We start from the raw sequence: 16,143 nt of genomic DNA, 5'->3' as shown, positions 1-16,143 counted from the left end.
GAAATATTTACAGTAGCTATGAAGAATCTAAACAGCTAAAGCCAGAGAAACAAATTGATGAAAACTCTTCTTAAAACATAACTTAGGCTGGATGCGGTGGCTGATACCTGTAATCCCAGCTATTCGGGGGGCTGAGGCAGGAGAATGGCTTGAACCTGGGAGGTGGAGGTTGCAGTGAGCCAAGATGGCACCACTGCACTCCAGCCTGGGCGACAAGAGTGAAACTCCATCTCAAAATAAATAAACAAACAAACAAACACATAACTTACAGGCAACTGAAGATTGAGGTTTGCGAATAACTGGTATGAAGGTTTTGATGTGGGAAACGCTCTAAGCCACCACAGACTGGTATGGGATGGGAACCTAAGAAGATCCATATCATACACCAAGGACTGAGATAGGCCCAGGACAGACATTTTCCTTTGCCTGTTCTGGCAAGAGTTTTGCATCAGCTCCCTCCTCAGTGGGTAAAGAACAGAATTAGCACCAGATATATACTATATGCAATTTATAGGTGTACAAGACATTATGCCTAAGACAGTGAAAACCAACCCACCCAATAGATGAGCGTTCTGCTATATAACAACAGTGTGTGTTGGCGGGGGAGGAGAGTGGGTGTCAGAATGTATATGACCAGGAGATTCTACTCAAGAATAGAATAAATTGTTCTTGATTGCCCAGGCTATCATGCAATCAAAAGCCACTGGTGATCCAGCAGTACGGTACCTCTATTTCCTCTGCCATGCATAGAGGGACACACTTAGGTTACCTGAGATGGGGTCATTACACACACAGACACCAGCAGCTATCTCATAGCACCTCACGAGTTGGGATGCTTTTGCTGCTTATCTGCAGTGTCTGTATAGTTACATAATCCTAACTGGACCTGGATTCTGTAATCTGCACGCATCAGAAATTAACTGTGTTTCTTAAGTCACCATTGTTCTATAATAATATCTGGTTAGTTTTTTGTAGCAAGTTGGATGATTCTAAGAGGGTCTTGGCAACTCGGGGCCTTTGAAATTGAAGAATGAGAAGATAAAGAGACATCCCAAAGTCCCTCAACTGGGATGTGCTTCACCACATTGTGACTCTATATACATCAATCACATTCTGGGATGTATGTGTTCCCGCCTTCAAACTTCTTTCTTTGCTAATAGATGTGGTATGACAGATAAAGAGGTCACCCAGGCTTGGTGATAACCACAGATGGCAGGAATTATAATGCAGGGTGACAGGTAAGACCACGGAAACTCTTCCCTGGGCCACTTCCCAAGAAATGAGATCCCTAAGACTTTTGCATCCTCTTAAGCCTGAGCTCCCCCATCCTGGAGGATGGAGTCTGTGGGCAACTTTCCCTGCAGGCTCTTTTCAGTTATGACTAGGCTTCTTACCACCTCTACAAATGGCTTAGGTGGATAAGTGAAAACAATGGGAAGCAATGCAGAAGAAAATGAAAGAAGTTTGAGGTAAAAATGAAAGAGGTGGTGAGAGTTTATGATGCGGCTGCATTTTTGCTTGTTAACAAGTCACAGAGTATGACAGGTCTCCATGCCCCACACAGACTCCTCAGGAACATGACATACAGGGTCTTTCCCTTCCCTAAGTATCAGAGAGATGTCTAGGGAAATTCCTGATTTGAGAAGGGAAGGGAAAAAAAAAGTGAAAGCATAAAAGGCCGACATGCACTCTTTGGGTAGGTGTTCATGGGTCAGTGTCCCACACTTCATCCCAGCCTGACATGCACTGTATTATTGCTAATTGTGTGGCATGCCTCAGGTCTTCCCAGACTCAGGGAAGCCTGCCATCCTCCCCATGCTGTACCCACAATTCCCCAAGGCCACTTCCTCAATCCGTGCCCCACCCCCAAAGCACAGAACAAGTGCCCTGACTTGGTCACACCATAGAGACTTCCTAGAAGTATTGTAGGTCCGCTTTTCCTAGAGTCCTTGCTAGCTTGGACATGACTTGGCCCTGCCTACATGTACTCAGAGCATGAAGTTTAATTTAGTACCTTCCTAAAGATCACCTGGGGAGACAAAATCCAGGTCTCTTGCTAGGGGAAAAAAAAATTAAAAATCACAGGTTTGTTTGTTTGTTTGTTTGTTTTGCCAAAGTCAGAACTATCCTTCATGCAAATACCTTTGACTAATCCAGAGAAACACATTTTTAAACCTTTCCCCGTATATTTCCAAATGACGCTGGGAAAACACTGATGCCAATTCTTATCCTGGCTCCTGATCATCTTCCTAGTCTAGAGGTTGACCTTTTTTGTTTGTTTTTAATACAAGACCTTGCTATCACCCAGACTGGAGTGCACTGGTGTGACCATAGCTCACTGCAGCCTTGAACTTCTGGGCTCAAGGGATCCTCCCACATCAGTCTTCCAAAGTGCTGGCAGTACAGACCTGAGCCACCACACCCAGCCCTAGAATGTGACTTTCTAAGAGCCAGGGGAGCAGACAATATCTGGTCTTTCCAACAAGTCCCTGCATTGTAAAGCAGGTCTAGCTGAGGGCCAAATGAAAGTAGGAATCATGGGTTTGCAGCTGAGGATAGGGAGCAAGGTGAAGGGTGAGAAGTACACAATCTCAAGTTCATCCCCACAGTCCAGGTAAGGAGAGGAGAGGACAGAGGAAAGGTAGGGAAGGTAGAGAAGGTGAAAGACCTGCTCTTGCCACCAGGAAGCCAGGACCCCACTCCTACCTTCCTATGCTCTGAACCAACTATCCCACACAGGGAGGGAAGTTTTTGCCCAGCCCTGTTTCTATGAAAGAAACGACAGTTGTCTGATCAGAGAGAGAGAGAGAGAAAGCAAAGAAAATCCAGAGGCTGTAGAAAGGTTTCCCAAACACCAAATATTTTCCCCAAATTTCTTAAACTTCTCACGTATGTTTCAACCTGAGGACCTAACCACCAAGACAAATGGGCTCATCCCTACAAGGGACCAGGTCCTGATGTTAGTACTCTTCTTTGCTGGGTACCTTTCAAGAGAGGCCCAAGCAGTGAGTGTTGGGACTAATGGGAAGGAGAAGAGCCAGGCCAATTTTGTAAGAGGAGAAACAGTGAGCCAAGAGATAGTTCCTGAAGAAGAGAGGCAGGGAAGGCTTGGAATGTGGACCTCCTCAGTGGCCTGCAACCAGCGCTGCTACTTCTTCTGATGCCTTTACAAATCAACACAGTACCTCTTCCTTAAGCCCCTGTTAATGAAACCCCCTAAGCTGACCAGGATTAAAACATTCATCTACAGTCGGGGCAGAGAGCACTTACCTCCATCCGTACTGGAGAAACCCTGTAGGAACAAAAACAAGGCAGAGCGTTACTCTACATGTGGGGGTACAATCCCATCTTTTCCCATCTTTAAAGACTTAACCCATCTTTCTCCCATGCCCCAGCCCAGAATTTGACTGTGCTGGGGAAACGCAACGATCTCTTTTCTTCTGGACAATTTATTTAGAATTCCAAAATTATAATTCCCAATTTATACTAAATTTCTCCCAATAGAGATTTATTTCAATGATCTAGCAAATATCCTTGGTCATGCTGGAGAATGATATCAGAAAATCCCATCCTAAATTGATTTCATTAGATTGCTTTTCTGTCACTCATAGGTACAGCAGAAACAGTTATAAAATGGAGGGAGGTCCTGAGATGTTTGTTCAGAGCCTACTGGTTTTACGGACTCTACTCTTTGATACACGGCACCACCTGTTTTTTTGTTTGTTTGTCTTTGTTTTTTGTTTTTGTTTTTTTGAGACGCAGTCTTGCTGTGTCGCCCAGGCTGGAGTGCAGTGGCGTAATCTCAGCTCACTGCAAGCTCCGCCTCCCAGGTTTATGCCATTCTTCTGCCTCAGCCTCCTCAGTAGCTGGGATTACAGGCGCCTGCCACCGCACCTGGCTAATTTTTTTGTATTTTTTAGTACAGACAGGGTTTCACCACGTTAGCCAGGATGGTCTCGATCTCCTGACCTCGTGATCCACCCGCCCCGGCCTCCCAAAGTGCTGGGATTACAGGCACCATCTGTTTCTATATACAGTAAAATGTCATGTATTTACACTCTTTGTATTTGGAATTCTTGTCCACTTCATAAGGTGTTGCTTCTGGCCTTTTTATAATGAAAGACTCAAAAAGCAAACTATAATTAAAGCCACAAAGAGCATGTTTATTCTGCTTCATCAGAATTGGTTTTAGAATTCTAGAGTCCAATAAGAGAAGGCTTTTCAGGCACAAGGCATATCAGGGATCCGGAGAGCAGGCAGATGGGGTAATCTAATGACTCTTCCCTATGCCTTGCAGCAGGCCAGATGGTCCCACACCCAAAGATATGTCATGCTTAGCTTCAGGATGGCCCCTGGTCCTCACACATCTGCCCCTCATTTCATAGAGTTCGTGGCTCAGATTTCTCATCAATGCCCACTGGCCTGTTTCCCAGTTAGCACCATTTTGCTAGGCCCTACTTCCCCATGGAAATAACTTTGAGAAATCGTTTTGGTTTTCTTCACCTTCTGAAAGTCCTTGAAGGATTTTTCTGTTTCCTTCAGTTTCTCTAGGATGATTTGCTCTTTGGCAGATATCTGGGACTCTTCACTTTCTAGCGTTTGTATTTCTTGCTCCAGCCTGGAAAACACACAAACAAAGGACAAGTTACTTTATTGTCCTGCCATCCACGGGCAAGAGAGCAGCTCCTTCCTGTTGGGCGATTTGTACCTTCCTGGCAGCCTTTGTTTTACATTACGCTGAGGAGCCAGGCCAAGGTTTTACATTACACAGCATCTTGTGTTTCCAGCTCTGCCACTGGGCAGACATTGGTCAAGGGAAATCAACACAGCACTGCCTCCACTGGTTCACAGCCACCACTATGCAATATGTTTCGATGTTTCCCTGCCAACACCATGCATGTGCACCTTTCTTATTTGGAGGGAGATTATATTTACATAGCATAGGACATAACATCAGAAGGAAAATAGCTTCATATTCTCCTGACCGGCTCAGAGTAAGTGCTCTCTCAGGTTGGTCAAAAAGTAAAGGGCCATTCTTGCTCAAAGGAAGTATGTTGCCAAGAAATAGCTGGTGGCCAGTACCCTTGGGAGCCTGGTGTCCTCTCCCTCTGTGGTCTGGATTCTACTGCCAAAAAGAAGGGAAATGAAGAAGACAGATGCAACTGCCCCTGCCTTTTGGAACTTTCCTCAATTTTCACAGCCATCCTATGTATTTTATAAAAGGGAAATTTCAGCACTGCCAGGAGACTCTGGAAATATTCCAGAATAGCAGCTGCAGCTATGATTTGGGGAAAGTCTCAACAGCCATATTCTTTCAGTGAAATGATAATAATTACCACCAGTATTTACTGAGCACTTATTCTGTGCCAGGAACTGAGCTAAGAATTCATGTGGATTATTTTATCCAAACTTCCCAATGACCCTGTGAGTAGGGAATCCCCATTTTACCGATGAGATCAGTAGGGCTTGGCAAGGTGAAGTAACCTAGTAAAGCAGGCTTTAGTGCCACAGAGCCTTGAAGCAAGGATTCAAGCCAGGTGCTCTGACTCTAGACCCTGTTCCTAACCATTGAGCAACTCTTACCACATGGGATCTAAAGTGTTCTCCACATCCCCCACCTTGTTAAACATTACATATATTGGCAGAGTAGGATGGCACTGATATGCAGCAATGTCTTCAGGAAGAATGAAGGGATAAATGTTCTCTTGCTAAAACTCTAGATTGCTGTGCCTCTTGAATTATTTGATCTGAATTTATTCATTGGTTCATTCATTCAATCACTCATTCATTCATTTTTTCTTTTGGTCTCTTTCCCCTCTGTTGTGCTGGAAGCTTTGCTGCTGAGTCTGTGTCTGCCTATATAAGTCCCCTCCCTTGCCTTCCTCCTTTTCCATCTTTTTTTTTTTTTTTTTTTTTTTTTTTTTTTTTTTTGAGATAGAGTCTCACTCTGTCACCCAGGCTGGAGTGTAGTGGTACGATCATAGCTCACTGCAGCCTCTACCTCTTGGGCTCAAGCAATCCTCCCACCTCAGCTTCCCAAGGAGCTGGGACTAAAGGCACACACCACCATGCCCAGCTAATTTTTAATTTTTTTTTGTAGAGGTGAGGTCTTACTATGTTGCCTGCGTGGGTCTTGAACTCCTGGGCTTAAGCAATCCTCCTGCCTCAGGCTCCCAAAGTGCTGAGACTACAGGCGTGAGCCACCGTGCCTGGCCCTCTTTTTCCATCTTTTAATCTGCTCTCGGGAACTGGCCATTAGACTTAGACCTAAAATAAGGAGTTCAGAGTGGGGTTTTCTGAAAGGTAAGGAACACCAAGATCCAGGCATGAATTTATTTAGCGACATACTGTGCCCCTCAGATGGCCTTTCTGTTTCCTTCCTGGGTGTCAGAAAAGTGACCTCTGGAGGGATAATCTTTGCAGCAATTACTTTGGGTTATGAAGGCAAGCCCTATATCCAAATTAACCTCCTCCAAATGAACACAGCTCTGAAATATTTGTCATTTCACTCAGGGTAAAAGTAGAAGTCCTACAGCTTATAAGTCCCCATGGTATCTAGCCTCCCAGTACCTATCAGCTCCACTCTAACAACATGCCTATTTCACTTCATGCATTAGTCAAATAGAGCCACTCTTATTTGCCCACATGTACCCCATGTCTTTTCCTCCTCTAGGAAACTCAACTCAAACTCCCAACCATTCTTGAAGTCTCAGCTCAGATGCCACCTGTCATGAGGTGTTCACAGATTTCACTGCCAGGAAATAACATCGCTTCCCTCTGAACATTTCTTAGCACATTATTTTGTTTTATCAGAAGTCTTATCAAGTCTACCATATATTAGAGCAGTGGCTCTCAACTGAGGTGATCTTGTCCCTCAGGGGATATTCAGCAATGTCTAGAGATATTTTGGTTGTCCAAAGCTCAAGGGGGTGGGACTGGTGTTACTGGCACATAGTGGGTAGAGGCCAGGGATGCTGGTAAACATCCCACAGTGCACCGGATGGCACCCTACAGCAAAGAATTTTCTGGCCCCAAATAGTAACATACATTATTAATTTCCCCTACTAGATTATAAATTCCTCAGACAGAGGGCACAAATGCTCAATACACCTACATTGAATGAATTTAAAAAGCTGAGCTAAGTTGCGCAAAGGTGTGGCCCAGCCAAGATAAGACTTTCAGAATTTTGGAGACAAGAGTGAATTCTTCAGCAAGCTTTAACTTGAGAGGCTGTGTGTGGGCGAGACGCAAAGAGAATTTATGGAGAGGGGGCTGGCCAATCTAGAGATACGAACATAAAGATGTAAAACTTCTTTGCTGGTCCAGATGTTCAGCAAAATCTTCTACACACATCTGTGTAAATTATTTTGGGGGGAGTAAGTAAAGAGACATGAGTGTGAAATAGGAACAACACACGAGACAGTCACATTATCCAGAAACTGAATTAATTCAATGAGTAGAGGAGCTCTGGACTAGAGGTTCCCTGTGTAGACTGGATGATACTACCAACCAGGTGGGCTCTGAGCAGGTTTTATTTATTTATTTATTTATTTATTTGAGGTGTGATTACAGGCATGAGCCACCACACCTGGCCTGAGCAGATTTGATTTAAATCTCAAAGTACAGAGTACTTTAGCAGATATTTAGGGTGTGCAGTAGATTATATTATTCTTGGGCCGGTTGCGATGACTCATGCCTGTAATCTCAGCACTTTGGGAGGCCGAGGCAGGCGTATACCTGAGGTTAGGAGTTTGGGACTGGCCTGATCAACATGGTGAAAGCCCGTCTCTACTAAAAATACAAAAATTAGCTGGGCATGGTGGTGCACACCTGTAATCCCAACTACTCTAGAGGCTGAGGCAGGAGAACCGCTTGAACCCAGGAGACAGAGGCTGCAAGGCTGCAGCGAGCCCAGATTGCACCACTGCACTTCAGCCTGGGCAACAGAGTGTGACTCCATCTCAAAAAAAAAAAAAAAAGATTACATTATTCTCAAAAATATTCCCTTCCTTCCTCCCTTACTTCCATGGGAAGAGTACATGCTTCCCCAAGCCACTGATGTCAATCTTGACCATGTGATTTGCTCTAGGCTTATGGTAGATGGGTTACACTTCCCAGTCCCTTGGCACTGGCCGCAGCCATGTGACCTGCTTTAGCCAATAGGATGTGAGCAGATAAGACACAAGCAGAGGCTTGAAAAGTGCTTGCCCAGTTGAGCTTGTCCTCTTGCACCCCTTCCAATGCCAAGACAATAACTTATCTGGGCAGCTGCTGCCCCTTCAGCCTGGACCACAGAAAGAACACACATGGAATAGACCTGAGGCAAACCCATAGATAGGCACAGTGTGCCCTGGCCCTATGGGTTTCAGGGCTCTCAGCTATATAGTTCAGAAGCACCTGAAATTAGAGCCACTCAGCTAAGCCCAGCCTAGATCAGCAAATACCCAGCCTACTCACAGAAGTGTGGGCAAGAATAAATGACTTTGGGTTTAAGCCACTGAATTTGAGGGCGTGTTAGTTAGCATTATTGTGGTAATAATGAACTGGTACAGGTCAAATAGAAGTGTGTATACATTTTACATATATACACACACACACACACACACACACACACACATATGTATACACACATATATATATATACATCCTACTAATATATATCCCAATAATGTATATGCCAGTTATATAATATATATACACATATATTTATATGTGTGTTAATGTATTTATATATATCCCAATAATACCCAAAGCTAAACGATTAGAAAGAACATAAGGCACCCTCTCCTCCCTTCCCTAATCCTGAATCCTCTGAGAAATCTGGAGGGAAACAGGGCACACCTTCATGAGAATTAAGACTGAAAAAACAGAAAAATGTCAGTGATAGTTGTCTCTGAGTAATGGAATTAAAGGTGATTTCATTTTTAAAAAACAATTTTCAATATTTTCCCAGTTTAAAAAATTAGTTTGTAACTTATCTAACCAGAATGAAAACAACAAATTCCCTTTTCAAAATACCTCCTGAGGCTTTCTGCTGAGAAGGCAGCATCTCCCAGGCTGTGGCATGAAAGAGGGGCCAGGGCCTCAGCTTCCCATGTGTCTAGTGAAGGGGAAATGGGAGCACCCCAACATCTATTTAAATTCAAAATCAACATTTATGGAGCTTGTTTGGTTGGACTCCGAGCTAGGCACTACAGGGGATTCTAAAACAAACAAGATCGTGATAAAAATGGCTGACTAAAACCGAAAATGGCTGTCTCTCAGTAACTCACTTCTTCCAGTGAAGCAACCTTAAGTGGTTAAGAATTCTCTGCGACCTGATGCCCACTGGCTGGCCTGTCTCCACGGGGTGCCCTGGCCCTATGGGTTTCAAGGCTCTGCGCTATATGGTTCAGGTGCTAAAGATTTGGGTCATGATACTGTGTAACTGAGAAGGAACGAAGAGAGAGGGAGAGAAAAAAAAGGAACGAAATGAAACCTTTGTGATAACAACAACTGAGTTTCAACCCAAATGCAATGAATGAAGGAAATGGAGAGTTTATGTCAGATCCAATAGCAGATTTTTCTATAAGTTCACATGTGGCCTTGGGCCAGGCTCTGAGGGTGTGGTCAGTCCAGGCTGCTCTCTTTCTCAGGAAAACCTGAGTCCTGGGGCAAAGCAGCTTCGCAAGGAACAGAGTGTCATGGGGTTAACAACAGTCATCCCAGCCAGGCTGCAGACGCCACTGTTTTGTAGTTTCATGACTGAAATCTAATGCAGTCTTCTCTGGAAGAGCCAAGTAGATGTTGCTGTGCTAAAAATAAAGAATGGGCAGGAAGTGTAATTTACACGCAAGGTTAATTGAGGATCCGTAGGCTGTGGCAGGTGCACATAACAGCCTCTAACCTGCTTGCTCAGTTCCTTCTGAGCAAAAAGCAAACTGTAATAAGCCATAAGGAAAGGTGACACACTGCAGCTGTGTAGGTTTAATTTACTGGAGATGAGGTTGCAATCATGGCCAAATGGTCTTATAAAATGTACCTAACCCCAATAGATCATCCTCACAAGAAAACAGAAAGGAACTCTCGCTCTGGGAAGTGCATCGATCATGCTCTTATTTCAAAGTTTATTTAGACATTCATCCATCTAACTTCATGCAAACACCTTCTCTGTATCAGGCACTATGCTGAGCACTGGGGATGGAGAAATAAATCAGACACAGTGTCTGCTCATGAGACTTCTTGGTCAAGTAATGCAAACAGCCATGTGAACACATAAATTACAATACAAACCAAAAATAGCAATAATAGAGGAAAGAACAACATGCTGTAGAATAGTTGGTTCTGCCTGGGAGTGTGTGGTGGGGACGCTGAGTGGTCTTCTCAATATCTATTCTCCCCCTCTTCCAAACTAACAGAATCCTTATTTGGTTGGGGATGGCAACATGCCCACCTGAAAAAAATTATGTATCCTAGCTTCCACTGAAGATAAAGCTGGCCATGGGACAGCTCTGGCCAATGAGATGTAAGTAAAAATGATCCGAAGGGACTTCCACACAACTCCCTAAAAGGGAAAGGAGGGCTGGGTGCGGTGGCTCATGCCTGTAATCCCAGCACTTTGGGAGACTGAGGCTGGAGGATTGCTTGAGCCCAGGAGGATGAGACCAGCCTGAGCAACGTGGCAAGACAAGACCCCCACCTCTACAAATAATAAAAAGTTAGCTGGGCATGGTGACATATACCCTTAGTTCTAGCTACTCTGGAGGCTAAGGTGGGAAGATCACTTGAGCCCAGGAGTTCAAGACTGCAGTGAGTGATGATCACAACACTGTACTCCAGTCTGGGTGACAGAGTGAGACCCTGTCTCAAAAAAAAAAAAAAAAAAAAAAGGAAAGGAGCGTTGGCTTAAGTGACATTTGCCTTTCCTTCCTTCCTGCCAGGTACAGGGACCTGGTGCTAAAGAGACGCATTCGTTTCCAATTCCTGCTATAACAACTACAACAAACTTAGTGGCTTACAACAATCTACATTTATTATCTTATATTTCTGTATGTCAGAAGTCTGACACGGGGTTTGCCAGGCTAGAATCAAGGTGCTGGCAGCGTTGTGTTCCCTTCTGCAGGCTCTAGGGGAGAATCCATTTCCTTGCCCTTTTCAGCTCCCTGAGGTCACCCACGTTCCGTGCCTTGTGGGTCCCTTCCTCCATCTTCAAAACCAGCACTGTTGCATCTCTCTGACCTTCCCTGCAGCCACCCCTCCTTCTGATTTCTGCCTCCCTCTTCCACATTTAAGGATCTTGTGGTTATACAAAGTGTACCCAGATAATCCAGGATACTGATCTCCCTATTTTAAAGTCAGCTGTTTGGAAACTCTAATTCCATCTGTAATTTTAATTCCTCTTTGCCATGGAACCTACCATATTCACAGGTTCTGAGGCTTAGCCTGTGGACATCTCTGGGGGTCCATTATTCTACCTACTGCAAGGGATATGATGCTATAGGCAGAGCAGTAATCCTATGTCCACAGGGGCAATAGTATGTCTGAGTGTGCAGAAAGAGAGACATTGCCTGGGTCCCAGAGGGCACGATGGAAAGAGTACACCACTTCTGGAATGCCTGGCTCCAGATTGCTTGTTATGGGCTTAAGCCTCTGTTGTGATCATAGCTGAATGCAATTCTCAACTGATACAGGTGGTGAGAAAAACTCGACAAAGTAGATGATGAATTAACTGGGCCTTGAAGGATGCATTCACCAGGTAGAAAAGAGGAGAAAATGAGCCAGGCAGAGGAGACAGCATGGGCCAAGGCCCAGCATATCACATGTCCCTCCTGTCACTCAGGAGCATGTGGCCTTGTGTGGCCTTTTTGGGTCACAGCCTGCGCTGCCCTCCAGCTTCATAGCTCAGCACGGTGCCTTGGATAGGTTCTCGCCGTTTCCGTCCCCACTCCCAATGGCTCACTCATGCTCTCCTTCTGCTTCACTTGCCTGGCTCTCAAATACCTGGCCTTCAAGGCTCTGCTGAGAGCCTACCTTCCTGCAAGGCCCAAACAAAGAGAAGGGAAGACAGAGCATGCTGGCTGCTGGGGACCCGTGCCATTCAATCTCCAGTTCCTGCTTCCCAGATCCTCAGCTACTCCTTTGCCCTTCTTACTTACAAAAGCCAATACATTGGGAGGCCAAGGTGGGTGGATCACTTGAGGTCAGGAGTTTCAGACCAGCCTGTCCAATGTGGTGAAACTCCGTCTCTACTAAAAATACAAAAATTAGCTGGGCATGGTGGCAGGTGCCTATAATCCCAGCTACATGGGAGGCTGAGGCAGGAGAATCGCTTGAACCTGGGAGGCAGAGGTTGCAGTGAGCCGAGATCATGCCATTTCACTCTAGCCTGGGCGACAGTGCAAGATTCCATCTCAAAAAAAAAAAGCAAGCCAATATATTTTCCCTTTGCCTGGGTGTTGGTCAGTTGAATCCAAAGGAGCACAGACAAATACAACTTGGTTTTTAATTGTTTTACTGTTTGGAGAGGGTCTTGTCTGTGAACTCAGGTGGGCTTCATTTTTCCTTCCCCATCAATGATGATAATAATTATTATAATACTAACAATTCTAATATTGTTTTTGCTAGATACAGTAATATATGTAACAATAATAATCATAAGGATTAGGATTATTGAGTGCTTACTGTGTGCTTGGAACTGTTATGAGTGTTTTACGTACATTATAATACTTAATCTTCACAATATCCCATGAAGTAAAAAAATCTGCAACTCCCATGACACAGATGGATGGATACACAGAAAGAGCACTGACTTGTCCAGGGTTGCAGAGATGATGTGCAGCCAGAATTTGGACCCTGGTGGTCTGGCTGGGGAACCAGTACCCTTTGCCCCTATCCTTGACATCCTCCCATGACCACTTGCCCTTTTACCTTCATTCCCTAAAGAATGCACATTGCAACACAATATATATTTTTCAAGCTCACAGAAGCACAGGTCAGACTGGGAGTAGAAGCCATTGAACTTAATTGCTCTCCAGAAACATGAAGTCCTTGAACTGTCCTCCACCCAACGATTATTTCACACCTTCTTGAACTTCTCCACACATGGGGAGCTCACCACCTCCCATGGCAAGCCAATCCCTCTTGGGACACTTAGGCCCATCGTAATGCCCACTCACAGATTTAAGCAATGTATCCCTCCCTATATCTTTCATTATCTGAGTTCCATCCCTTGAAAGGGCAGAGATCAAGTTTAGTAAACATCATGAATTATAAAGGCTCCACTCTGGGAAATGGGAAGATCTGGGGCAAACAAAACTTATTTTCCATGGTGGAGTACAGATACAAAGAGGTCCAGCAGTAGGAGGTGGTAGAAAGAGCAGAAAAGGAAAGGAGTAGAAAAACCAAGGGGAAAGAGGACTCCTGGGACCCTTCATGCAGTGAACTCAGCACCAACTAAAAGAGGAGGCAAGAGAAGCAGTAAAGAAGTGCTCACAAAATTCTCAGGACCCTATGAACACTTCTGAAAAAGGCTTACGCAAGACCAGCATATTCCTGACGATGGGCTGAGCCTTTATGAAATAACTCACTATTGAGAGACATAGACTAGGGTTACGCCCTACCCTATAGCCAAACACATTGCTACTCAGTTGACATGGGTTTGAATCTCAGTAACTACTCTCCGAATAAAAGGAGATGCTGACCAACTGGCTTAAGGTGCTTAATTCAGACCTGTTCTCTTCTCTGGAACTGCAGTTTCATAGTTGAGCAGTCAAGTGGGGTGCCTGTCTGGCCAACCTGCCAAAACAAGAACCTCAGAAGAAGTGTTTGCTGCTCAGAGGAGAGGAAAGCTGCCCACATGTTTATGAATTCAGCACAAGTAAAAGTGGAAAGGGGACTGCTAAGTTGCTCAATTTCCATCCTCCCCTTCTCTCAAAGCAATGTCATTCCTGTGGCTGAGCTGGGCATATGGCCACACAGAGTAAAGGCCACATCTCTCAGCATCCTTTGTAGCCACATGCTCTGGCCAAAGGCATGTAAGTGAAAGTGCTATATGTCAGCTCCTAGAATCTTCTTTAGCCCTTTCTTCTCCAGTTCTTTCTTCATCCTTTGCCTGAAATGCACATGTATGCAGCTGAGGCACAAACTGCCATCTTGGTCACTGTTGACAAGGATCAGTCTTTAGGGTTAAAGTGGAACAGGTCTGGGTCCCTAAGGAATTCACAGGGCACAGCCACCAAACAGCTCTTAACTGCATGCCTGTGGATGTTTACATAACTGCAGACCTGTGGATTTTTATTGAAGGGAGAAATAAGCATCTTGGCCGGGCGCGGTGGTTCACGCCTGTAATCCCAGCATTTTGGGAGGCCGAGGTGGGTGGATCACGAGGTCAGGAGATCAAGACCATCCTGGCTAACATGGTGAAACCCCATCTCTACTAAAAATACAAAAAATTAGCTGGGCGTAGTGGCGGGCGCCTGTAGTCCCAGCAACTCGGGAGGCTGAGGCAGGAGAATGGCATGAACCCAGGAGGCGGAGCTTGCAGTGAGCCGAGATTGCGCCACTGCACTCCAGCCTGGGCAACAGAGCCAGACTCCGTCTCAAAAAAAAAAAAAAAAAAAGAAATAAGCATCTTGTTTAAGCCACTGTTATTGTGGGTCTCTGTTCCTTGCATCCACATGGAATCCTAATTAATACAAGACACTTACCACATATTGTTGAATTTGAAGGAATGCTCTTAGAATTGTGCTGAGAATTAGGGATCACAGCTAATCAGAGCTTAGAGTCTTATCCATGACTCAGCAGCAGAAGAAAAAAAAATGAGCAATTGCAAGGTTGTGAATTCATTACTGCTAATCAACGCCTGTAAATGGGGTTGGCTGGAACTGTGCTTTGCCCCCCTTCTACTCCCCAAATCTCTGCCACATCCAAAGTCTCAGCAGAGAAGTTTCTACTCCTTGCACAATTATAATCACCCATGTCTTAGCATCTCTTTGGTGCGCTATTTGTGTCCGTCTGGCTTCCTGCCAGAGCCTTTGCCAGCTGAATTATATCAGAAAGAGCCAAGACATGCCTAAGTATACATTTTAAACACCTTTCCAGCCTTGCAGTGCAGCGAGCTGATCGCTCCTATAAATAAGACTTAACAACATAGAGCTCACCCATGACCTTGAAGTTTCAGTTATGTGGTGGGAAGAGAAGACTGATCACATGTGGTTCAGAAGTGAGTGTGGGGACAGGGGCTAAGGTGGCAGGCAGCTGAAAATTTTGCCTGCCCAGGGTCCCTCTGCCCTTTTCTTTTAGGAACAACATCCAGCTCCTCCACTGGGAAAAAAGTCTCTCTAGGGTTCCTTGTAGATTTGGTGAAACTATTGGTCAGAAGGCTCACATCCCTGGCCAAGGAGTAGAAACATATCTAAGCTAGGCCAACTGAACTCTTGCCCAAAGATCTTTGTCTTGAGAGAAGTGACTCAAAGAATAAAAACTAATCGGGGGTGAATTCGTCCCATGGTAAAACTCTGAAGAGACCACTTCATTAGTTCCTGCTGCCTGGAATTCCAGATCTGTCTGAGATGTGATTATCTGACCCCTTCTTCCATCCTAAGAATATTTAACCTCATCGATCTATCTATCTTATCTGTCTGTCTGTCTGTCTATCTATCTATCTATCTAATCTAGCTCTCTAGCAATCTATCTGTCCTATCTATCATCTATCTTAATACCTCCATTTCAATATTCTAGGTAGAACACTGGGAAGAATATTGTTTTCATGCAAATCAATGCTACAAAATTCATTTTCCACATTTCAGGAAGACAGCGCATTTGTTTCTATGGCACTCCACAAATATTTATCCTTTGTGACTCAATTTGTAAGGAAACAGCTTCCTTTTATTTAGATGAGTCTATCTGGAGTCACGGCAGATCATTTGGTATTTTAATATGAAAACATGTTAATGGCCCTTAAGTAAACAGAGGATTTCCACTTTTCCTTATGAAAGAACAGGGCCTTCCTTGACTGTAAGGTGTCAGTGGAAACTCAAGCCCATTTCCTCCTCTTTTTTTTTTTTCCTCACGTCATCCCTGAGACAGAAATATGGCAGAGAAGACAAGGGTCCCTTTAAGAATTCCAAAGGTCCAGCTCACATCCTTTCCTGGTGGCTCCCTCTC

At 44.6% G+C, this 16,143-nt stretch overlaps 1 protein-coding gene across 14 annotated transcripts in view, besides 5 other annotated features; it reads right to left on the bottom strand.

Annotated features, from left to right (window-relative positions):
• Nucleotides 1-16,143, bottom strand: part of PALM2AKAP2 (PALM2 and AKAP2 fusion) — a 531,726-nt gene that overhangs the window by 244,160 nt on the left and 271,423 nt on the right. For all 14 annotated transcript variants that reach the window (NM_001037293.3, XM_047423410.1, XM_047423411.1 and 11 more), the window contains 2 exons: nt 4,504-4,618; nt 3,271-3,292 (listed from right to left, as the gene is read on the bottom strand). In NM_001037293.3, the coding sequence (NP_001032370.1) occupies nt 3,271-3,292; nt 4,504-4,618 (137 nt within the window). The remainder of the gene's footprint in view (nt 1-3,270; nt 3,293-4,503; nt 4,619-16,143) is intronic.
• Nucleotides 1,499-1,718: an enhancer, noted in NCBI's record as "active region_28773". NCBI's record gives its function as "activates an Ori minimal core promoter by ATAC-STARR-seq in GM12878 lymphoblastoid cells {active_cell/tissue: GM12878}" and the evidence as "EXISTENCE:reporter gene assay evidence [ECO:0000049][PMID:35858748]".
• Nucleotides 1,909-1,958: an enhancer, noted in NCBI's record as "active region_28772". NCBI's record gives its function as "activates an Ori minimal core promoter by ATAC-STARR-seq in GM12878 lymphoblastoid cells {active_cell/tissue: GM12878}" and the evidence as "EXISTENCE:reporter gene assay evidence [ECO:0000049][PMID:35858748]".
• Nucleotides 9,195-9,264: an enhancer, noted in NCBI's record as "active region_28771". NCBI's record gives its function as "activates an Ori minimal core promoter by ATAC-STARR-seq in GM12878 lymphoblastoid cells {active_cell/tissue: GM12878}" and the evidence as "EXISTENCE:reporter gene assay evidence [ECO:0000049][PMID:35858748]".
• Nucleotides 9,375-9,544: an enhancer, noted in NCBI's record as "active region_28770". NCBI's record gives its function as "activates an Ori minimal core promoter by ATAC-STARR-seq in GM12878 lymphoblastoid cells {active_cell/tissue: GM12878}" and the evidence as "EXISTENCE:reporter gene assay evidence [ECO:0000049][PMID:35858748]".
• Nucleotides 9,785-9,834: an enhancer, noted in NCBI's record as "active region_28769". NCBI's record gives its function as "activates an Ori minimal core promoter by ATAC-STARR-seq in GM12878 lymphoblastoid cells {active_cell/tissue: GM12878}" and the evidence as "EXISTENCE:reporter gene assay evidence [ECO:0000049][PMID:35858748]".

This window comes from Homo sapiens, chromosome 9, assembly GCF_000001405.40.
Source record: "Homo sapiens chromosome 9, GRCh38.p14 Primary Assembly".
NCBI classification, from domain to species: Eukaryota; Metazoa; Chordata; class Mammalia; order Primates; family Hominidae; genus Homo; species Homo sapiens.
Note: the sequence above shows the minus strand (reverse complement) of the source record. Positions and strands in the feature narration are given on the sequence as shown.